At 37.6% G+C, this 25,246-nt stretch overlaps 1 protein-coding gene and 2 long non-coding RNA genes across 9 annotated transcripts in view; 2 read left to right on the forward strand and 1 right to left on the reverse strand.

Annotated features, from left to right (window-relative positions):
- Positions 1–25,246, forward strand: part of LOC124906269 (uncharacterized) — a 277,601-nt gene that overhangs the window by 69,481 nt on the left and 182,874 nt on the right. The window lies entirely within an intron of this gene.
- LSAMP (limbic system associated membrane protein) overlaps positions 1–25,246 on the reverse strand; it is a 643,114-nt gene that overhangs the window by 58,208 nt on the left and 559,660 nt on the right. Inside the window, exons 1-2 of one of the 7 annotated variants that reach the window (XM_017006384.3) lie at positions 9,854–9,942; positions 5,885–6,024 (exon numbers count right to left, since the gene is read on the reverse strand). The exons of 5 other annotated variants lie outside the window; for them this stretch is intronic. In XM_017006384.3, coding sequence (XP_016861873.1) covers positions 5,885–5,906 — 22 coding nt within the window. In that variant the 5' untranslated portion in view covers positions 5,907–6,024; positions 9,854–9,942. Of the gene's footprint in view, positions 1–5,884; positions 6,025–9,853; positions 9,943–25,246 lie in introns of those variants that run through there. One more of the 7 variants, XM_024453522.2, reaches the window with a different exon arrangement.
- Positions 9,997–10,763, forward strand: LOC105374053 (uncharacterized). The gene is made up of 2 exons (XR_924357.3): positions 9,997–10,157; positions 10,727–10,763. It is a non-coding gene; the product is annotated as an uncharacterized LOC105374053 (long non-coding RNA).

Below are 25,246 nucleotides of genomic sequence, written 5' to 3' on the forward strand. Positions count from 1 at the left end.
TATTGAAAAGATCAAATGAACCAATAAATGAGGGGAAAAAAGTTGATCTTTAAAAATTTAGCCTCTTAACCATTTATTTTTAGGAGTCCCTCCATTAGCAATAAAAACCTATTGGTACACAAAAATGCCAGCAACCAGCAAAGGAGCTACAGAGACAGTGTAGAGTAGACTTAGTACTAGAGAAGATTTCTGGGAGAAATAAGTTTTCAGGAACTTAAGAAATGCAAGTGGAGAAAAAATTAGGGCTGGCAAATTGCAAAAGGGTGTGGCAATCTAGAAGTCTCCGAGCAGGAAAAATGAGGATGGTGATGTGTGAGGACATGCACTGGGATGTGACGGGTGGTTTGAGGACTCTGGATTTGCTATGTGAGGTACCACTACATCTCCTTTAAGCCTGCCAGCACCCACAGGGTACTGAGTACAATGGCATTATTTTGTAATTTGTTTTCTTCCTTTTTTCCTCCCCTCCTCCCCTCCCTCCCTCCCTCTCTCCCTCTTTCCTCCCCTCCCTCTCTCCCTCTTTCCTCCCCTCCCTCCTTCCTTCTTTCTTTCCTTCCTTCCTTCCTTCCTTCCTTCCTTCCTTCCTTCCTTCCTTCCTTCCTTCCTTCCTTCCTTCCTTCCTTCCTTTCCTTCCTCCCTACACACCATATAGGAAACATGATGTGTAAGCATAAAATCGTATGAAAATTCTATTTGTTTAAAGTCCTTTATACACCAACACTATTTACTCTCAGTGCCTGTTTCTTGACACTGAGTACTAACGTGTATTTTGATGAGCCTTCCTGTGAATTACTGTGAAAGTGGAGATGGGCTCTTCAAAGATTTCAAAAAATTGTGATCAACCTTGTTTAACTGACGGTGGCTGCCTGGGGAATGATGTTGAGAAGGATTCTGAGGCGGTGTCTGGGCTCAATGAGAGAGAGTGGCACTGTCCCCCTGGCGGTAGGAGAAGGAATGTGGACCCTGTACACAGACCCTCACCTGCCCTGAATTTCCTGTAGTCCACTTGGTTTTCTCAGGTATGAAGAAATGTATTCTAAATGCAGTGTGTAGGTTGGAAGCTAATGACTTCCTAAGTGTGAATGCAGGTGGAATCACTTGGCGAATTAGGAGGGGGTACTTATTTTGGAGTGAAGATAATGAGTTCCATTCTAATATGGTTGGTATTAGGTTTTCCTGGGACATACTGTGGAGTATATTCTATAGGTACTTGGAAATATGGGGTTGGTAAGAGATTTTAGCTAACTGTGGATTTAAATTTGTAATCTACACGAGTTGTAATTCAAATCACTGGAGCAGGGACTGCAGAACATTTGTAGGATGTAGCTCCTAAAGCCAGCACCCATTCTCCTACTTCATTTTTATGACCTCGGGTGCGGGGAAGAAGAGCAAAACTGAAAACAAAGGATTGAAAAAGCCCCATATACTTAAAAGAGTCCTTTGGGAATAAAATAGAAGTAAAGATTCCTGCAGATGTTAATTGTTTTTTAGACTTTTTCTTAAAACCTGGGGGCAGGGGGTTGTTTGGCAGGGACAAATATTAGAATTGCTGGACAGAGTCAGTAACAAACAAGATCACTCACCATTGTCATCAGAACTGTGGGGGTATTACCAGACCTGTTATTAGCAACTCTGCCATGGCTCAGGATTAAATATCAAGAGAGATGAGAGCAGCAGTTGCTGTTTTTAAGAGTCACATAAATCAATTGGCATTTAGTAAGTGAATGTGTTAAACTCAGCAGGGTGATTGCACTATGGAAGGATTGCTAGGCAGAGTTTTGAAGCTGCCACAGAAGCCTTTGAAATGTAATTAAAACAAAGCAGACAATAACCCCGTCTAGCCCTTCACCCTTTCTTAACAGAACCTGATGTTGCAATGACCTCATATAGGTTCACCCTAAAATCCCAGATCTACTTCTTCAGCTAGGCCCAGTGCTGAATGAGTTATTTGATCCAATTTGGAGAACTGTTCTTGCTTAAAGTCAATACATAAGTAATGAAGAGAAAAGAATGGTAAGGAGTGGGAGCAGGGCAGAAGAGGAAAAGGTTTAAGTATGAATTAAAGTGATGTTCTTGGAATGTTTCCATTCAACATAAGGTGGGTAGCTCAGGGGTCAAAACAAATTAAAGGGTCCAGCCATTGGCTTCTTCATTTTGACCTAAAGGTACAAGCTAAAAATTACTCCATCAACATTCATTCTAGGTTGCAGGCCTCTGCTTACCAGCACCCCTCAATCTGGGCTCAGGATTTTTAGCCTTTCTGTAAAGCAGATGGATCACAGTGGGAGTGGGGGTCCCAGCTGCAGTGTCAGGAGCGCAGGTAGAGGTGGCGTGGGAGAGAAAAGAAGAGAGCACTTGCCTGTTCTTGAAAGCAGTCCCTCTCCCAGGCTGGGCCCATGCGCTCCTAGAAGGCTATGAGGCCAGTGGGCCAAAGCTTAATAGGAAAACAGCAGCGATTTGTCTCCACTGCTATTTATGTTTCAAGTGCTTGACAGGCTGTCAGTGCAAGTGAGGGTCACTAAATTTACTGCCTTTCAGATTACTGCTATAGTCTCGAACTTGACAAGTCACTTCATTTAAAAAGCGCTGCATGAGGATGTTTCCTGCACTCCTTTTTAAATAAAAACAAAGGGAGAAGAAAAGGCCACCTCAGAGGTTTAAATGGTTGAAATAAAGAAAGTCCACAAGACTCTCTTACCCTGAGGGGTGGACCTCAGAGGGAGAGTGCTACTTTCACACACTCACCTCTAATTAAAATGGCAAGTGAGGGAGAGGGATGACCCCAAGGTTTTTGGTTTGATTGATCTGTGTACTGGATGATATTTTTATGGGTGGTGGTGGAGGGGTGGGAGGGTAATAATTGAGTTTTTTTATCTATTGAATTGGAATGCTTAAAGGACATTCAAATGGAGATTCCTTCTAAACAATGGGATTCAAATAAAGGATAAAAATGTGTTGTATATGTGTTATTCATATACAACACATTTGCATATACATATATATTGTATATATATATAAATAAATGTTTACATAATGTTAACAATCTTACTTCTGGGTTATGGGATCAGGAGGCCCAGAAGTGTGCGGTTAGGGAACTTCTCTTCATTTGATGCCTTCCTATCCTGCTTGAATTTCTGACATAGATTATATATATATTACCTTTATAATGCAATATTTTCAAAGAAAACTGAATTTAATAATTGCAGTGTCAGTGAAAGACATACCTATTCTTCTGGCTGTATCCTAAGGGCAGGTTTCTCAGAATGAAAAAGAAAATCTCTACGATTTTTCTATTTCTGGCATAAGGGAAAAAGAATGATTAGGAAAATTAGACACCAATTCCAAATGACAGGAGGCATAGTAATAAGCAAGTTGATATTATATAAAATCAGAACAATTTTCTAATTAGGTGGACAAAAAGTTTTCATGACTATCCATGGGCATTGTGTGTTGTAACCTACCTCCTGTACTGTTCAACTGTGGCTATTAAAGAATTGTAACCACAGGTCCAGTCCACTTGGCCCCCAAAGCAGTGAGACTTGAGCCTGGCCAATTGTTAGAAGCACTTTGCCCATGATTGAGAGGTGTCTGGACTTAAGAGTGCTGACTCTGAAGGTGACAGGTAGCTGTATGTGCACTCAAATGAATTTTCCTCACTATTCTCCACTCCATGGCACGTTGCCTGATTGCTCTTTGATCCTTGTTACTGGCAGTCAGATTGCACTCCAGTTCCCAGCTGGGACTAAAGTTGAGCTAAATTATAAACTTGACCCATCATTTAGTTGTCACCATCACTTTTCCTACAGGGCTGGACCCTTCTTGCTGTATTTTATAGCTGACTAATAGCCTGCTCACATTGGTGCAGCATCATTCCCTAGAAATCTCTGTGCTTTGGTATTATCCCTTTGGATCTGCGTATTCTGAGAACAAGCCCAACCTGAGTTTCCCTAATGATATGAACTATAAATCTTACAGGAAAGGGGAAAAGTTCTGAGGTGGAGGTAGAAAGAACTCATCCTTTGTTCTAGCTCAAGTCTTCTAAACTCCCTCAGCCCAGGAAACACTCAGCTTATCTTCCTTTCTCGTGGGGAACTTCTAAGTTCCCTAGTGTCCTCGCACCACCTCCTAACCCTCCCAGCCTAAACAGTGTGAACCGCAAAATGATTTTCATGAAAGTGTATGATTAATAGAGTGTACATGGAGAATTTTCATGGATAGAGAGAGCTAACTAATACCTGCCATACAAACGGTCAGGCTGTGCAGTATTTTTCTAATATAAATAGCACAGAACTTAGGATCTCAAACAAGCACTTAAATGTACTCAATCATTTGTTTATATGAGAGAAATACATTATTATGCAATGTCTTAGCCCTGTGCTGAAGCTATTTCATCTTATTCTTGGTAGTTGACCAGAAGATTGACCCCCTCGCCTCCTGTACCTATCACATAAGATCTCATTGCAACCACTCAGAATAACTGTCCAGAGATAATTTGCTAATGGATGTCAATGTACAACCTATCAAATGCTTAAGACACTTAATAATTGCAAGGCATATCTATTTGGTATGCTACTATCAGTTTATTCAAGTCTTTGGATTCTGTCCAAGAATCACATATTTAGAAAGCAGACCATTTTGACCATAATTATTTCAGTACTTCCTAGAAATGGCTTCACTGAAGTGAGACCATGGACGTTTCTCTAAAGACTATTTAAAAATTACCCCTTTGAACACATTTTCTATGCATTTCATAAATTTCAGTCAAACATATTGTCTAACATATTACTCAATACCCTTTATAAAAGGATTCTTTAGTTTCCAGAAAATAAGTCTCTGTAGATGTCTTTTTCAACTCTTGCTACTATTTTGAAATAAAAAAGAAGCTATGTGAATCTATTTATTTTCCCTTTTGCTTTCACTTTAAAAAATTACACAGATATAGTATCCAGATGTGATCAGCTTATCTCAAATTCTGATCAGCATCTGTACAGGTGTTTCTCAAACTGTGATCCATGGACCACCTATATAATAATCACACTGGAAACTGCTAATACATGCAGATCACTGGGCTCTTTCACAGACTTACTGAATCAGAATTTCCTGGGATGAGGCTCAGGAATCCATTAGTTTATAAAACCTACCAGGTGATACTCCAGAACACCTACATTTGGTAAGCATCCTTCTGATCTTACTAGTTTGGCATTCAGAAACATATACCTTTTCTTTTCTTAAGGGAGTTAGGTTAACCCCAGACACAGAAGCCATCTTGACCCGGGATCAGGGATCAATCCAGTATTTAGATCAGGAAAGACTGAAGGAGACAAGTTAAATTATGAGGAGAATCAACATTCTGCCTTGAGCTCAATTCCCATTTCTGAACTAACAATTCAGTCTCCATTTGTTGGGTAGCACTTCGTGTCACATGGATTTTTTACATCTTCTAGTTTATCTATATAGGCTTCTTCTTTTCTCTCTCTGTGTCTCTTGTTAACCAATGAAGGAAGTGAAGTTTAGAAAAGTTAAGGAACTTTCCCAACATTACACAGATAGTAAATGGCAGAGCTAAGATGCCTGTGTGACTCTGGTGTTTTAATCAATCATATCATATTTGTAAAGTCTCAGCTCTGTTCCTGAGATTGATCCTCATTTGCCTACCAGTTCTAGACACTAGATTCATGACAAAAGCCAATGCTGACTGCTTTCTGGCCTACCTGGAACTCCAAAAAAGCCTGGATCTCAACTCCCAATTGTGGGTTACCCTTTTCTTTCCTCTCCATCCTACAGTTCTCAGTGTTGCCTGGTATAATCACTAGATTTCCTTACTGTAAAAATCACTGAGAATAGGTCATTTACACCCAAAGTTGAATAAGAAAATGTACGTTACCTTTCTTGGTTTCATTATGCATGGATTTTGTTACAAAAGCACCTTTGATGGGTGGATAAGCTGTTGGTGAACTTGGAGAATGACAGATGGAGGGCTACTGACCTTCTCAAGTGTTGGAAGATCATTAAGAGTAAGTTAATCTGTAAATAGATGAGAAATGTAAAGTTTCTTTGCATCATGCTATGAAGAATTCTGAGCTCTCTTACCCCACACTCAAGTCTTGGTTTGCAAAGTTACATTCAAATGACATGTGGCCAACCTGAGGTGCAGTAAAGGGAAGCTGATGTAAAGTGAGCAGAATTGACAGGTTGCCAAGCAGGATAAATTACCTCAAAGATATCAAACTTTAAAGCTTAATTATTTTCCCATTAAGACTCCTTTTGCAATGCAAATATTAATGCAAGTGGTTATACCTTTTATCAGCTAACGTCTTAATTCTCAATTAACACCTAAGGGATTTCACAGCCTGCAGGCAAGCAGAATGGGTACTTGTGGGAATAGGTTCTGTGGAACTGGAAAAAGACTGGAATGAAAGAAGAGGATGCTGCTAGGGGAAGAGGGGGGTCATAAATTCATTTTACACAATGCTGGCTTAGTGTATCTAACTGTTTGGGGTAGCTAGGAATTGAGTAGCAAACACTGAGACAGAAAATCATTCTCACTAACATATAAGTCTTGGTGGTCTTTTAAACTTGTTGAATCCAAATATTGATAAGCACATTAATGCTCAGTTTTTCAGAAGATAATTGGGTAAGTTATGAGCAGGAGGCCTTGGAATATTTTCAATAAATTCCTAGGCTTTCAAATCTCTTCAGCCTTCCCAACCTTCTATACTAATCTAAAATACTGTCGGTTTCTGGAAGGGTAAACCTTATTGTATCAATAGCTCAACATATCATATACTGATGCAATTTTAATTTTCTAGTGGGAAAAACTTCACAATTTCAAGATGAAAAAGTTAAGCCCCACAAATCCTCCCCTTTTGACAGATGGCTTTACCCGAAGGCAAACTTAGCAGTGGCTCTCAGGGAACATTATCTGACCCGCTGTGCTGAGGGGCAGAGGAGACACAGGAAAAGATGTGAAAGCAGAAAAACATGAGGGAGAAGCCCTGAGCAAACAAGAAAGTAATAGGGTGGGACACAGGAAAATCACAGAAGAAATCAAGCCAGCCAAACCACGGGGAAGAAGAAGAGCAGGAAGAAAATGCCACCAGAATTGCAAGAGCCTAAAGTAATCTCACAGATGCCTCCAGAAAAGAAATCAGTTTTGTTGGTGGTCAGGGCAAACAGAGAGATTTGTTTTGGTTGGTTGAGTCTAAAGTCTATTTGCTAAGAGACTTCGTTTTGATATGACATATAATAATCATTCTAAGAAGTGCTCTCCTGGCACTCTACATATCTGAGAGTAAGTAAATAGATGAGCATGTGATTGCAAAGGCAGCTGAGTGAGGAAAACTTACAATTCACAAAACGGGAGTTTTCATTCCTGACAATACAGTGATAAGCTTTTGTCCTCTTTAAAGGACTGGAGGTCCAAAATATGTTTGTTTACTTGTTTCTAACCAATATTCCTAGTCCTAATATAGTTACAGTTGGTCTAAGGGCTTTAGATTTAGGCTTGGGCAGATTATCAAGGCATCTTCTGCACATCAGGGATAATGGAAAATTTAGCTCCTACATTCAACTCATAGCTAGTGTCCTGTCTACCTGGAGAACTGTTGAATGCTATCACAGAAAGAGCTGTGGGCCATTGGCATGGGAAATGGGGTGCTGGCTACGTATTAAACTTCATGTGCTGTGATGGGACTAGTTAGCCATTGGTTAGAGGATGGCAAGGTTGGATCCACACTAATCAGAAGACACAATTCCAAAACAGTCATGTGTCTGACCTCCCACTCCCTGAATCCAAGCACTAGCCATTGAGAAATCTATCCCTCTCTCCATCAAGTTGTCAAAACAGGAATATTATAAAGCAACTTAAGGATGAGAAGTATTTGGAAGAAAACAGAGGTATGTGTGTGTATGTGGGATGGGTGGAACACATTTAGAGCCAGTTAGAGAATGGTACCTGACTGAACTTGGATTTTCAGGAACATGGAATTTTCCCCTAAACGAGCATAAATATATTTTTCACTAAAGAGTTGAAGATATGAAACTTAATTAACTCATTTTAAATACACATATTTAAAATGAGGTTGACACATATTTAAAATGAGGTTGAAGGAAAGCTCTAATGTAATTTAATCAAAACCATAAAGATTTAATCTTCTTTTTCTAGAAAAGATACTAACTTTTCCAAAATACAATCCAGGACAGATTCTCAAAATTGTTCAAGTGGTAGGTCCAAATACAAGAAGAAAATATTTGATTGTGCTTTTTTACATTAGATTGTTAGATTTTAATTGAGAAAAATGGTGCAGACAGTAAAAAAACTAAGAATATTTTATGGTAAACTTCAATACACACAATTCTACTCAGTAATATTTGTCTTTTATAAATCAGGAAAAAAAACCCATATTTTATCCTAGTGACAAAGCTGTTAAGCTCAGTTTCTAGAATATGAGTGTTTTCTAGCACACAGTTTGAAAACCATTTAACTCATTTCCAGGAAGAGAAATCAATGCAACTATGCTCAATGGTTACGCTAAAATAAAAAATTCAGAAGTATAGTAAAGAATATGACTGCTGCATAGACCAACTGACAATTGTTCAAACTTTGATAGCCATAAACAAAAAGCCAGATTAGGTCAGGAGATCATTTGACATCTCTTGGTTCCCTTCATAACCTCTATCTTGGAGGGGGAGAGAGAGAGAGAGAGAGAGAGAGAGAGAGAGACTGACTGAGAGAGAGAGACTGCCTACAAATACAAAAAGAATGGCTCTCCCTTTGAAATCTCTACTTGATGAGTACCAGCAATTTGGAGTAAAAAACATAATACATAATTTAACTTGACAACTGTTATATGTCCAGCACTAGGCTGGGGAGATAAAACAAGGCATAGTTAGACAATACTAAAAAGCAAAGAAGATGCCACTATCTGGGAAACTATCATTATATTGATAACAATTAATTAGTAATAAATTAAATTTGCTCTTACCATTAATATTCATTACTTGCAGATGTTCTAGTACTTTACTTTTGAATATGATGAACAGTGCCCAGACACAGTAGGTACTCACTAAATATTAATTTCTTTTAAATCTCTCATTCTCTTTCTGTTATAATCATTTTCAAGAGTCTTTACCTCTTAGACTTTGAGAAACATTTTCTATGTCTGGTGAATCACTTGTAAAATGTTAGATTGTAGATTAAATGCATACGTCTTTTCCGAACAAAAATCCTGTAGTGCTAGGCACAGACATTTATAAGGATATGTATATCCTTATATATATGTGTATACATAAAATTATTTCCTGAGATTGTTGTTTATTTTTTCCCAAATTTGGGAACCAGGAGCATTATAGAGCAGGGCTTGGCAAGCTATGTCCCATGAGCCAAATTTGATCTGAGTGATTTTGTATAGCTCATAGCTAAGAGTGAATTTTGCATTTTTAAAGTTAAAAAATTAAAATAATATTTTTTGACACATAAAAATTATATAAAATTTAAATTTCAGTATTTATAAATAAAGTTTTACTTGGACACAGCCATGCCTATGCATTTTTATATTGTCTATGGCTGCTTTCAGTTACAATGACAGAATTTAATTGCAACAGAGACCCTATGGCCCACAAAGCTTAACATATTTACTACCTTGTTTTTCATGGAAAAGTTTGTTAACCCATGGTGTAGAGGAACAAGCTCTAACATGCAAGTCTGAAGAAGTGTATTTTTGATTGGGCTGTTGTGCTTCCCATTTTTTTAAGTTGGGGAATATAGTAGATGAGAACAAAAGTATATTTCAGAAGTAACATTCTATGACCTAGGCTCCAATAAATTATTTTCAAATAATTACAATATCAGTACCTGTCAGTACATTTACATTTTTAGCTCTTCCTAAATATTTTTCTAGGGCTGTGGCTCCCAAAGTAAGAAAAATCACCTAGGGAACTCCTTGAAAAGGAAGATTCTCAGGCTTACCTCCAAAAGTTCTAATCCATTATGTCTAGGGCAAGCCCCAGGAATCTGCATTTTAACACTCTGGTGGTGATTTTGATGTACACACTCACTGCAAAAGCTTCACCAAGGTGGCCCAACTCACTGGTTCCTTTGCTCTGGCCTCAACAAACTAGCCATGCTGTAAAGAAAGCTTTAAACACTCCAGCTGCTGGTATGAACTGAACTATTTCAGCATGTATCCTGAGACTTTCTAGGGAAGAGATTGCTGCATTAGCTGTGGAGTTGTTCCCAGGAGAGATGCAGTAAAAGTTTAGAATCAGACTAACAGCCTTATACTTGTTTCTTTCTAAAAAACCTAAAAAGGCCCCAGGCATTTCTTTTGCTTGCTGGGGAGATGGTGATCACAAACCTGTAAGGTGCACAGTGTTTTCGCTTCCCACAGAAGAGAAAACTCATTACATGAAATCACAGGCAAGCTCCCAACAAGAAGATGGGAAAGAAATACATAGGAATCAGCCATGGAGCTTTCAAATTACGGAACTAGAAATTATATTTGCAATAGTTGAAAAGATTTTCCTCTGAGAATAGTATTATTCCAAATTCACAGTAAATCTCTTTCTCATTTTATGCTGCCTGGGAGTTCTTAAAATTGATAGACCATAGAGAAAATGGCATTGCATTCTCATAGGGATTGGCAGCCTAGAATGGCCATGCAGTTTAAACCTGAAACACAGAGATACTCATTTTTCTCCCTTCTTTTAAACTGTGCTCTTTACCCAGGGTCAAGACTCAAGACTAAGTTTATTCAGCAGAGACAGAAAAAAAAATGGCTACAGGGAATCAGAAGACAATCATCCTTAGACAGGTGTATTCCTGGGAAATCAACCTTACCATTGAAGGTTTCAGAGGCCCTTGAAGGCCTCAGGAAAGGCAGAGTCAGAGGAAAAAAATATTAGCAGTGCAGTGCTGAAATGAAAGATACAAAGATATGATACCCCTGTTTAAATTGTTTCAGTGTACAAAGAACAAAGCTACCTAAAGAAAACCAACGTGTAGTGTGTGTGTGTGTGTGTGTGTGTGTGTGTGTGTGTAAGAGAGACAGACAGAGAGACAAAGAGAGAGAGGCAGAGAGATAGAGGGCTTCAACCTCCTACTCGTTGACATTTTTTTCTAACCTGAGGGTTCCCTATTGCTAGACTTTCCTTGGTTACTTTTGAAGCTTTGTAAGACTCTAGGAAGAACTAAACCTCCATGCAAATGAGCAAAGCAGGAATACCATCTGAGTTATACAAGCTAGAAAAAGTATAGCACACACCAGCAATCCTTTTGCCTCAGGATATAAAGTGATCACCAACTGGACTCAAAAATATTCCTACACTCTGTAGCAGAGGGCCTTGTGGGAAAGAAGAAAGAGTTGCAAACAGCTTAGAACAAGTGTACAATTCAGCTGGTATAGTTAAGAGGGTGCTGATTCTCAGAGAATTAAAATATTCATGTCTAGTTGTCATTTACATCTCAGCATTTCCCTTTTTATCTCCTTTTTCTCTCTTCTTAGATTTCTGTTGATTTATGGGCCCAGTTATTTTTGATGCTCTGAAAATGAGTGAATTAGTATTAAAGATAAAGATAAAAGGACCCACAAGAATGGGTGAAGAAGTGATAAAATGCATAACTCTTGGGTGGGCATGTGTGTGTATGCTAATGGGAAAGGTTATGGATCAACAGCATTTCTACTGTTAAATATATTTTCTTGCCTCCATTCTCCTAAATCAAAGATATCTAAATCACTTATCCTTTAGTTGTTATAACTACTTCAAGAGTCCTCTGGGCAGGTTTGGCTGCCCCATGTGCCACCCTGCGGCATCACCTGCACCTTACTATAGAGCTCAAAGAATTAGCAAAGGCAAGAGGAAAGGCAGAAGGGGATCAAGAGGGAAAACTACAGAAGAGAGTGCAGGAGAAAATAGCAGGTAGAAGTCTAGAAAAGAGGAGGGGTATGAATGCCGACAGCAGGAGGCCGATAGGAGATGGGAAAGAAAAAAGAATTGAGCCTCCCGAGAATGGAAGAATGGAAAGAAGTGTTTAAATGGTATGCAGAATAAAAATACAGAAACAAAGAGGAAAGAACGTAAGTATTTATTTAGTGAAAACTATGTGCTAAGAATTCTCACGTGAATTATATTATTTAACCATTTTGAAAACTCTGTAGTACAAATATTTAATCCCTGAACAAATGAGGTAGCTGAGGCTCATAGCTGTTAAGTATCTGGTCTAAGATCACACAGGTAGTGGGAAAGGAGAAGAGAACTAATACTCATTCACCAAATAAATATTTACTGAGAATTTATTATGAACTAGGCATGTGCTAAGCAACGTGACACATGCTAATACTAGTTTAATTAAGGAAGTATAACATATGTATGAAACATATATGATACATACATACACATATATACATATATGTAAACATTCCCATTCATAAATGTGGTTGAGACAGAGATCCGAATTAGTTTTTCACAAATATAAAGCTACAAATTAGTGGAATCAAGATTTAAATTCAGGCTGGGCACAGTGGCTCACACCTGTAATCCCAGCACTTTGGGAGGCCAAGGCAGGATGATCATCTGAGGTCAGGAGTTCAAGACCAGCCTGGCCAACATGACGAAACGCTGTCTCTACCAAAAATACAAAAATTAACTGGGACTGGTAGCATGTACCTGTAATCCCAGCTACTCAGGAGGCTAACTTGGGAGGTTAAGGCAGGGGAGTCATTTGAACCTGGGAGGTGGAAGTTGCAGTGAGCTAAGATCACACCACTGCACTCCAGCCTGGATGACAGAGTGAGGCTCTGAAAAAAAAAAAAAAAAGTCTATGCTTTTTTAGACTAGGGCAGAAATTCTGTTTCAGAGAAAGGACTAGGCTAAAAGGAGATCTATGGCATAAGACAGAGCAAATCTAGAAAATAAGAGAAAAAAGGAGAGGAAAGTATTCCAAAATATGAGCTATTTAGTAATTAATTTTTCCGGTCATTCTATTTTATTTTACTGTTCATTTTGTTTTACAAAATAATTAATCCTGTATAGTATAATAGAGTATTAGAACTCAATTTGGGGAACCTGAGTTCATACCTTGCCGCTAACTTTTACCAAGTTACAGAAAATCTCTATAATTTAGTTTGCTGTAAAATCGAGGTTATAATATCAGTTGTGATGACCTATAAGATTGCTAAGAAGTTCAAAAGAGATAATACATGCAAATTACCAGGTATCACATCTGTAAGTAAATGCCCACAGTTATATTTAATAGCTTTCTTGTCCTAGCCTGCTGGAGAGCCTCTAGCTTGCTTCCCATTTGTTCCCTCTAAAGATCACCCCAGGATTTGACCTTCCACGTAGGAATCAGTCTATGATGGTGCATTTCTGAAGGCACTGACTACTACCCATTTGCAGGATGCAGAGCCTCTATGTAATAAGAAATATATTACACTCTGAGCTTCTGCCCTTTTCTAAGTTTATCTTTCTCTCTTGGAGCCTTTTCATAGTTTTTATTATATATTTACATCTAATGAAGACTTGAATATTGCCTCTGAATATTGCAAAACATCAGTTTTGTTTGATATAACAGAGTTGGAGCTTTTAGATTTCAGCACGTAGATTGATTAATGTAAACGGCACATGCTGTCTCTCCTCCTCCAAAAAGACATTCCTTTCTCTTTCTGGGTTCCTTCTCCTCAGTCTTTGGGAACCAGCTCCAATGCCCTCTCCTTTAGGAAGTCTGTCTCAGCATCTTTCCTTCTCCTGCTTCTTCTTCCTAAGCCCTGCTTGAAACTATCCCTATTCTCAACCCCTAGGTTTTTGTCTTGTTTTGTTTTGTCTCTATTCTCTCAAAAAATTTGTTCATGCGGTGATTGTAGCACAAATCAGGCTGTACTATCATCATTTGTATACATTTTGTCTCCCCAGCTATACCATAAGATTTGTAAAGTCTCTGCTCCAGGCCCATTTATCTATATATTCCCCCATTGCTTCATTGACTTGTACATTTATTTATACATACAATTAAATATATTATTGAGTGCCTATTACAGGCCAGACCCTGCACTAGATGCTGAGTGAAGACACAGTGGTGAATAAACCAGCCTGTCTTCAACTTCATGAAGCTACCATCTAAATGTATGTATGTACGTTATTTAAGCCTAAGTTATAACTCTATTCAGTGTGAAGCAGGCAAGATATCTCGAGTGAAAGAGTGGATAAAAGAGAGTTTTCACTTGGTTAGGGAGGTTAAGAAGGATCACCTAAGAAAAAGCCACTGAAGTGGAGATCCAAAGGAGAAGTATTTTCTTCTCAAATGAGGAATTTTCAGCACATAGAAGGTACTTTAAAAAAAAAAAGAGAATGAACGTTTTCCTCAAATTAAACAGACACATTTAATAAAAATAGCTGTTATTTACCTAAGGCTTTCTACACACATCAATATTATCTCAGGTAATTCTCAACCATATGAGAGAACATCGTTTCTTTTATTTCTTTTTATAACAAATTCAAAAGATAGATTAGGAATTGGATAGTGAGTAAAAGGTAACACAAACTATCTACTACTTTCAATCCCAATCACAAATTATTCTAGAGGTCCTTACCCAAATATTTTCCTCAGAAGAGATGTTATCTTTTTCCTTTCCATCAGAAGAAGCGAGGCGAGTAACCTTAACCTAACATTTGAATGTATTTGTCCCAAATATATTCTTTAACTTCACTTCCTGAATAAGATTTTCCTCCTGCTCTCACTCATTGCTGTACCGAAATATTTAATTGAGTGAAATATTAAAGTAGGGGTTTGATAAGTGGCTGCTGCATTTTATTTTAACGAATGTGATGGGTTATCAAAATTGCTGCACTGTAGCCGTCTCTCTATAAATAGAAACCTATTACTAAAGGGTTCAGAATAATTACAATATTATCCCAAATATCACTATGTGCTAGGCCTGTCACATAGTAGATACTCAATAAATGATGACTCCTTAATGATGAATCTCAAATAATTTTTCTTTGACAAGCTATTGCTATTGTGACTGAATATTCATGTGAGGGGTCACTTCCAGGGTTAAAGACTGTGGTCAAAGGAGCAGGCAAAGCTCGCTAGATTAGGGAAATTGTCCTCATTGTTCTTACCTCATTAGCATTATTTCCAGGGTTCTTGAGCCCAATACCAAAAATAGGCCTTATGATTGTGTTAAAAAAAAATCATAGTTCCCATCTACATGAACACAAGCTTGGAAGAGTGGAAATAGATATATATTTTGAAATAACTTTTAAAAATGTGATCCTGAATGAGCTCTATACAACAATATTTTTCTACTGAAATTTAGAAACAACATCCCCAATGCCTTAAGTACCATTAACAGCAGGCTTCTGATGTATTTTTATAAAGGCAAAATTCTCCCCTAACTTCCACAAACAGGTAATTGATTTTTTTCTTTTATTTTAATTCTTAGAGCATTGAGAAATTTCTTTCTGTTCCCAACTATAATGAGAGCTCTGTTGAGGAGATTTGTCTCTGTAGCTAATTTTTCATGCTTATCAGTCATAGGGTTATCTTCATTTTAACACCCTTACTGATTCAGATATTTTGCATGAATTATCTGCATTAGTCCTGTAGAGGATTTCAAACTTACTCAGTAATGCCTGCAGTTCCTCATTCACTTTTGCTAAAAGAAACTGTTCTGATTTAAAAAAAAAAAAAGGAAAAAGCTTTTTTTTTTTTTTTTTAAGGCTACAAATAATACCCTCAGTTTGCATAGGGATCATTAACTTTCCTTGACAGAGGTTTAATTTCCATCAGACATTTTACACACTCTGACCAGTAATGCATTCAGACTCACCAACCAGTCCTGCTAAGAAATGAGTGTGTATTGGTAGTGTTTAACTGTAAAATGGGACCAAGAAGCCAAGCACTGTCTGCCACTGAGTACGAGGTTACTATTGATTTCTATCTTACTCTTTTACTCCACTGATTTGATTTCTATTAAAATTCTGCCACAGGTTCATTCTCTGGGTCAACTCTGCCATCACAACCATGTGCAGTGACTTCACCCAGGTTTCTGTCATCATGATTTTACTCTTAAGATCTCCTCATCCAGCGCTTTCTAGTTATTCTAGAATTCTTGTTACAACCACCCCTCAGCAGGTTTATCTACCCCTCTTTCATTCTATTTTTTTCTTCCTATATTCTTCTCTTATCCATTGTGATCATACATGTGTGAGGAAAAATATGTTGGGATTCTAAAATGCCATCTAAGTCCCTGAGTTATGATTCTGAGAAGACACGGATAGTTCTTCATCATCAGGAGAGCAATATTAATGAATTCTTTCTTCTTATAGTTTTTCTTCATAAGAACTGTCCACACTCTCTCCCCTCCCTAACTCGCCCCTTCCATTTTGGAAGCTTTCCAGCAATAAAGCAGAAGGAGGCAGTCTGAGAAAGGTTAGGCAAACACAACAATATTACCGGAATAAGTAACATATTGCTCATTAAACATTTAAAATCAACAGTTGCTTGCTCGATCTGCCAATATTTTGAGAAATGCCAGTTTTACTGCTAGGTGCCACTTGGCTTGAGCTTCTTAATTCATGATTTGTGAACTGACATCCGGGATAACAAAACCTTATTCCAGTTAGAATTTTGCCATCAAGAGAAAAGCTGAAATATCACAACACAAAGCTCCCTGTTTTTTTTTTCTCCTTCCTGCCTCCTTCCTCCCTCCCACCCTCATGCCTCTGCCTTCATTCCAGAAACAAATGGATGTGTTAAAACAGTGAAATGTGTTTGTGGAAGATAAATAGTTTATCTTAAATATACTGTTGTAGTGTCAAACCGAGTCTCAAATACATGTACATATTTTATTCACAGACATAACATTTCAAAATGAGTAGCTTTTTTCTTTTTCAAACATTTATACATGAGCGTAATGCCTACAAAAAATAAAAACAGAACGACAATGTAGCTCAGATCTTATCAGCATTATGTGCTAATCTCATCAAGAGCACGGGCCCAGAGTGTAGTATTTTGTTTCAAAAAAAGGCATCCCTTCCCTACTAGAAGCAGAGGAAAGTTTCTGGACTTTTAACACATCTCTCTCTTTTCCCTCAAATATTTTGAAGCTTTGTTTTATTTTCACTTTGCTGCCACAAATGTGATATCCTGGCCAAAGCTTCTAATCACGTGGGCATGCTTTCTGTGTCCTTCAGCAAGGGAATAATTTGGTCTGTTGGAGCATCAGAAACTATGCATCTGGTGCTATGATATTTTGGGGAGGGGGGTTGCAAAAATTTTTTAAAATGTGGTTCCCATCCTTAGGTAGATCACAGGCTACTGAAGAGACAGCTAAGCAAGCAAATGATGACACGTAGCAATAAGCACAGTAACCAAGCTGTTTTGACCTACTACAGTCAGGATTTTAAACTTAATAGGAAAGAAGGTGTGCCATCAGGCCAATGAGCTCCATCTCCCTGGGCCATACGCGGAGACACGATTGTTCTGCAGTATATGTGAAGTGTGGGAGTACCAATGCTGATTTGATAAGATGAGGATTCTTGGCATCCACAGTCTTAAATGTGGTAATCAGAACTCAGAAAGGGGAATATCACAGAAAAGTGAGACTCTTGATGAATGTCCTCCCAGAACAGTAATCTCTTAGCATGAGGCCATCTAGAAAGATGGAGACCAAGGGAAAGGTGAAGGAGGGCACTTTGTACCAAGCCTACTACCACTGGTTATGGGATATGTTACATTTAAGAAACACAATGATGAAGTATTGTTGTTCTGGTTATAAAGAGTGACAAACAAGGAAGAGATAAGAAAACGCATCTGCCTCAGACATTATTAACCAATAAAAGATTTACTTGATACTTTGAGAACATGCTATTCTTTTTTTTTTTTTTTTTTTTTTTTTTTTGACAGACTCTTGCTCTGTTACCCAGGCTGGAGTGCAGTGGTACGATCTCAGCTCACGGCAACCTCCGCTTCCTGGCTTCAAGCGATTCTCTTGTCTCAGCCTCCAGAGTAGCTGGAACTACAGGCATGCACCACCATGCCAGGCTAATATTTATATTTTTAGTAGAGATGGGATTTCATCATGTTGGCCCGGCTGCTCTAGAACTCCTGGCCTCAAGAGATCCACCTGCCTCAGCCTCCCAAAGTGCTGGGATTACAGGCGTGAGCCACCACATTCAGGTGAGAACATGCTATTCTAATAGAATTGTAATAATAATAACAACAACAATGGTGGCCCATGTCACCAATTCCAGGAGTTAGAATTACTTGGGAATGCTATGTGTATGGCAGCTATAAAGGATATGATAGATCTGATTAGTTTTGGTGAATTATGGGGTCAACTTGAGTAGTGGAGACTGATGCTTCTGAAGCCTTGGTATTTGCCATGTCTGTAAGTTGAATACATTACTCCAAAGCTGCAGGACACATGTCTCAAAATGTTGATGAAAGTTACATGACAGCAAATTTATAATAGGCCCTACATAATCACTCTCATGCCTTTGGGGCTGCAAGTTCAGTCAAGTTTATGTCATTATTACCATTCCTTGGGCTTACAGAGGACAAATTTTATGATCCAAGAAGTACAAATCCAGCCAAGCAAGTAAATGGGTTCAGATTTATTGTGAAGATACACTTATCTACCCTTTTCTGTTACCCATGACACAGATCTACAAATGTGTACATTTAACAATATTAATGGAAATTGTCAATTTCAAATTACCCAAGCCATTGGAGACTTGGAATATCATAAATACACAAATAAAACCCAAAGATAAAGTTTAAACTTTATACTAGTAAAGAATTTCAAGTTCCACTCCAGTCACTGAAACATTTATTAGTTATATCAGGTGGAAATACTGACTAATATGGGTTTTATAAATTTATATAGATGTTGTATGTATTGGTTTATACTGTAAATAATAAATAAAAAGCTGACATTAGAAGGTAGAAAGAGACGTAGTCATTCACTCATCCATCAAGAAAACATATCATTAGTGCCTATAACATGCTCCATTAAGCATGGGCTGTACCAATGGAGGGCAGGGTTCTTGTCCTTCAGGGGCTCACAGTTGAGTGACAATTTTAAGACTAGTAGTTACCCCTGAACAATTTAAAATTGGCTAATTGGCTAAGCCAATGTGTAGATGAGAAATAATGGCATCTTATTAAGAAAGAGACTAACTTTTCACAAAAGAGGCCTGGGTAAAACTCAGAGCCATGGGATATAAGCCCTGGGTACTACAAATATAGCCTTCCTTTTCAGGTTCTTTATTAAAAATTTTTATGGTAATCCCTATATCACAGATCAAAACCCTTAATGTGAGTTTAAAATGTTAGCATAAAACATAAGCTTGGTGTTTGTGAATCTGAATTCATTCAATTTATCATTGAAAAAAATTCTAATTAGGTATAAGAATTAAGAACCAGCAAAGAAACACAAAGGTAAAAATAAAAAGATCTTACAGATTTGAATACACTGAATGCAACAGATATTCCAAGGACAAACTCTAATGCCTAAACCAACATACACTGGGATAGCAGAGTGGATATCAGTGATTTCTCCGGTGACCATTTCTGTGTCACTATTCTCTGGACACACTGATTGATCCAAGAGAGAAAAATGACTTAGGCTAGACTAATAAAACTCTCTCCTGGAAATGTGAAACTTGAATGGAGTGTCTCAGATAACGAGTTTCATTAATGGCATCATGTTATAGAGAAACTCCCCAAACAACTCCTTCTTAAGAGTTGCCTTATTTTGCCTTATAAAGAATATATTGTTCCATTTTTCCTTTAAATTTATAATTTACTTCAAATTCTTAAATTTTGTTTTGCCTTTTGTCAGGCGAGTTAGTTTCTGTTGTTTACAATCAAAGGGCACCAACAAATATAAATATTTGACAACCAAATTTTCCTCTTGAGATGCTCTTGAAAACAACTTTAATATCCCAGGGTCTCTATTTTAATAAAGGACTACGCTGAAAATTCTGTTTGTTTACCAAAACTTCTAAATCACTGGGAAAACATAAGGTCAGGATTATGAGTAAAATTAATGTAACCACTGAGTAAATAGAGAATATTTTTAATAAGTTTGAAAATCAGATTAAAAGATCATGGTTACTTTGAGGCCTAAACATTAAAAATCTGCTATATTAAAATAATGTACATAGGCTGGGTGTGGTGGCTCATGCCAGTAATCCCAGCACTTTGGGAGGCTGAGGCGGGAAGATCATTTGAGGTCAGGAGTTCGAGACCAGCCCGGCCTACCAACATGGTAAAACCCTGTCTCTACCAAAAATACAAAAAAATGAGCCAGGTGTGGTAGCGGGCACCTGTAATCCCAGCTACTTGGGAGGCTGAGGCATGAGAATCCATTGAACCCAAGAGGCCGAGGTTGCAGTGAACCGATTGTGCCACTGCACTCCAGCCTGGGCAATAGAACAAAACTCTGTCTCAAAAATAAATAAATAAATAAATAAATAAATAAATAAAATACTGTACATAGTGCCATTATGTGCCATTTCCAGTAAGATCTGTCATCCTTACACCCAAGTTATTAATATCATACTTCAACAAGTAGTGTTTTTACAGTTTGCCACTTGCATTCATAAATGCTGCTGCCGCTAAGGGTGGCATGTGACCATGTTCATGAAAAGTGTTATGCACATAACCATTGCTCTTTGCCAGCCTGGACACTCTTGAAAACCTCCTGAGCATTAGTAAATCAAATTGTCACACCTGTGCCTTCTAACATTTGAGGACTAGCTTGGACCCATTTAGAAAAAGCAATCCATATTTGGATGTTACTTGTCTACTCTGTATTTCCAATTCTTTTGTGAGTATTATAGAGTCATTCTGCATTGTTTTCAGCCTTGCAGTGTGCTAGGTTAGTATTTCTTCCACCGACCTTGTTAATCATCTCATCCATACAGTTGCTTATGAATAGTGTTGCCTTCCTTGTCAATAAGAGCTATATTAAGAGCAAGCATCCTTTTACTGCTTCTTGACTGGTTGTGTTCTTGGACTTGGCGGTTGTTTATATTCACTTGCTACTTAAGTGTGGGTTCTAAAATGACACTGATTAAGCCAGATGGGATATGTGCAGTGTGTTGAATAAGATTCATTGCCATAAAGACAAATTGGAAAATATCATCCTTCCCATAAAATGTGAATTTGTTTTAGAGTCAGATTGGGTCATACCCATCCCTTCACTCATCTAATAAATATTTATTGATTATTGCAGTAGATGCCTTAAATACCCAGTCCAGATTCCCTTTCCTGAACGTGCACCTGTCTCTCAGCTGTTCTTAGAACTGTGATTAGTAACATCCACCTGGGGCCCTCTCTGGAGAATTGCTGGTGGATGATAGCCAATATGTCCAGAAATTCCTGGCTGGTTACAATTTCCCTGCTCCCAAGTGATTAATGATAGACTGTTTCAAGGTTTAAAAAGTGAAGCCCCTTGTCTCAAGGTGAGAAAACTCTGCAGTGCTATTTACAATATAGAGCATCACCATGTATCAGGACAAGGTGAGAGTTTTCCTAAGGCAATATTCTTTTTTGAACCTTTCCTCTTTCCTATCCCACTTCTCTCCTGCTTATAGGTTTTTCTGAGCAACACTCCTCAATAACTCACATACACCTAACACACTGTCTCAGGCTCTGTAATTAAGAAATCTGACCTAAGACAACTACCCACCTTGTACCAGGTGCTGGACTAGGGCTAAATATTTTAATAAGATTTTTGCTCAAGGATCTTTTTAAGACTTTTATAAATAAGACAATCTTTCCAATAAGATTGTCCCTTCATTCAAGGGCTTGAGGTTTCCTTCTGAATTTTTCCAGATACATTCTGATTCAGTAACTGCTGAATAATAAGTGGTTTTCTTGATTCACAATTTCCAATTTCTCTGAATCCATACATTTTTGATATACCTTACTTTATTCAAGAGCCATTCTCCTAAAAATTTGCATAATAGAGTTCCCATAGACTCATATTTGAAATGGCATAAGAGAGTATACTATTTAAGTACTCTTGTTAATTTTTCCATAAACTGAATTATTAATCACTAAACTCATCTGTTTTGAAATATGAATTTTCATATGTCACATTGACATAAAGAAAGGACTACTTTACTGGATAATGCATTGATACCAAAGGAATTTTCTGGCATCTTCTCTCCCTCATCTCTCACCCTCACCCCATTCTTATTTTTGGACTCCTATACCTGTTTTTATGGTTGTAACAAGCTGGCTCCAATTCCTCCATCCAGCCAAGTTTACCTCATGCTGATAAAAAACAAAACAAAACCCTAGCAGCTTTCCCCCACTTGTATCCTTATGCTCAGGTTATGTGATAGATAACTATCTGGACGATAGTTAACTATAGTTACTGTAGATACTATAGATACTGTAGTTACAATCTTCCATATAGATAACTATATGGAAGAATTTGTGCAGAGAGAATGAAGCAGATAGATTGAAGGAGAAAGAGAACTAGGGGTCAATTCCTGTTCCACTAAATTCCAAAGCATTATTTATATTTTTCTCAGTTCTTAAAACTTTATTTCATCAATTGCCACTGGTAACAAGAAGGCAACGGGGTAGGCCTGGGGAACACATTGATTAAACAGAGGATTTTGTACATTGCCATCTATTAGAACACATTTGGGTTAGAGAACAGGGAAGTGACTAAAAGGGATAGGAAGTGTAAAGGTAAGGAGGTGAGAAGATAAACAGAAAGGTAAATAGAAGAAAAAGTGATTGGGAACAGAGAGTGAGGATCAATAATAAGGAACACAGAGGAGCCTTAGTAGATGTAGATGCCTTAGTGCCAACCTGCACTTGGCCAGTGGTGGTCCTCAGGGAGGTTGAAACAGTAGTCCTAATGTGATATATTTTGATGGAACCAGGGTTGGAAAATACGCAATAATCACTCTGAATGCACTGGAAGGGATGGGCATATTATTGAGCTGACAGTGTATATAATGTAGGCAGTGTATATAGATGGTAGATGCATGGAAATCAGGTTCAAGTTGTAACTGATTGGGTCCTCAAGCAACCATTGAATCCACATCTGTAGGAATCCCAGATCTAAATCTAGTGAAGGGGAGTAATCCTGCCTGTTCTCTTTTTATGCATTACTGTAGATGTATTTATACACAAATGGTAGGGTATTATACCATAGGAAAAAATGGAACCTTACAAAAGAAGAATGAATCAGGATTTGGCACAGATGGCTAAAGGTAAAAAGAAATATTTTTATCTTATGAGGGGACACAGTGAAAGATAAAATAAGAGAGTGAATGGAATAGAAAAAAATGAAAGACATTAATGATAAGTCAAACTAAGAAACTCAACTAATTTCTTAAATCTTGCTTTAATAAGAAAACAATTACTGTGTATGATTAGGATATAATTAAGATTCTGCAAAAACAGCTTCTAAAAGCAGAGAATGTAGTAATTGGAAAATTTGAACATTAACAAATCAATGATTCTGGGACTATGATGCCCACAATTGACTTGATAGTAGGGTGTCACAGTGATTGAATTTGATTTTTGCAAAGGGATGAAGAAAAGAGAGAGCTCTATGTATATATAAAAGATGTAGTAATAATGGGTGAATGGAACTAATCTTCATAATACATAAAGAGAATGATTTTGGAGGCTGAATTAAGCAGTTTTTGAAAGGAACAGATGTTCTTAGAGAACAATCTTAAACATCAAGATGACAGGTAAGCAATATTATCTCGAGAAGAACAAATGGTGGACATCATTTCTGATAGCTTTAAGATGGACAGAATTCTAAGGAAGTAATAAAAGGCAACGAAGGGCAACTCATAGTTGAATTTCAATAAATGTAAAATAGACATTAAATATTCTAATTCAATTCAAATTCAATCTGAAATTAATGCTGTTGGATTGGCAATTAGTAAAGGTTGATCATGGACGATTAGAGATGTGGTTCTGGTGATCTCTCTAGTGAGTCTATTATAAGGTTCATCACTGTATAGAAGATGACTACGGAGGGCTCGCAGATGGCACTGGATGTAAAGATATTGCAAATATCGGGGAACAGAAAACAATGCAAGGAATGCCAACAAGTTTACAAATACGAGCAGAAGTCATCTAAAATAAGATTGAGCTTTGAAATATACACGCTTTAGCAGAGGATAAAACAATCTAACAAACACACATATTCACTAACAAGATGGACCTGGAAGTCAATAACATAAAAAAGAATAAACACGAATGATTATAAGAAACACAAGTATATTCTGCATATAGCAAATGTAATAAAAGAGGTATTCCTTTAGATGTGGAGTGTAAGGAAGCACTCTTCAAAGGTCAGGCAAATTGATTTTGAAAAGAAATGTCATTAATAGGTAGTATGTACAAAATACTAAAAAAGGCGTTCACAGAAGAAAGTATATTAAATATATAAAATTGAACTTGGTATCTTTATAATCCAAGTAAAAACATTTAGGGAACTTACAGAAGTGAAGAGGAAGGGAAAAACACAAATGAGAAGGAGAAGTGCAAGAATAATGCAAACTCATTCAACAAGTACTTAAATTTAACACCTGCAATGTGCAGTGCCATGTGGCTGGTGTTCTGGGTGGGAAAAAGGCAGAATTTGCGTTTGTCTGTTCCTGTCCTTCAGTGTTTCATTCCTCTTTAGGAGAGAGATTTATACACAACAGAAGCTATTTTGTGTTAAAGAATTTTAAGAGTTGTAAGTGTGGAAACTGCAAAAAGGACAGTTGGAGTGACAGAGATCCAAGGTTCATTATGATTATGAGATTGTCTATGTGCCCAGGAGAGATAATCTCAGTTCCCTTCTATATTACAATTTCATGGTTATTAGTTCTGAAGAAAAACTAGAAGACTAGTGGGGAAGCTAGGTTATATTGACCAACAAAATATGAGGACAGACTGAAAGAGGTAAGTTTAATATCAGCTAAAGTCTTGGGCAGCTGGTCAGAATCCAGACTGGATTCATGCTGTCATCAGCAGAGGTCAATGTGAAAGGTAAACAACTTTTGTGTGTGTGGGGGTGGGTGGGGGGACAAGTATCTGCTGCATAAAGCAAGATAGATGCTTCTTATCAATCAAGAAGCATTTAGATGCTTCTTATCAATCGGAATACTGGAAACAACTTAGAAATGGCAAGGCTTAAGTTAGAGTCAATACTCATGCAGGCTAATGCTACCAGGATCTGAAACAGTACCACGGACAGCTCTCTTA

Source organism: Homo sapiens, chromosome 3, assembly GCF_000001405.40.
Source record: "Homo sapiens chromosome 3, GRCh38.p14 Primary Assembly".
NCBI lineage: Eukaryota > Metazoa > Chordata > Mammalia > Primates > Hominidae > Homo > Homo sapiens.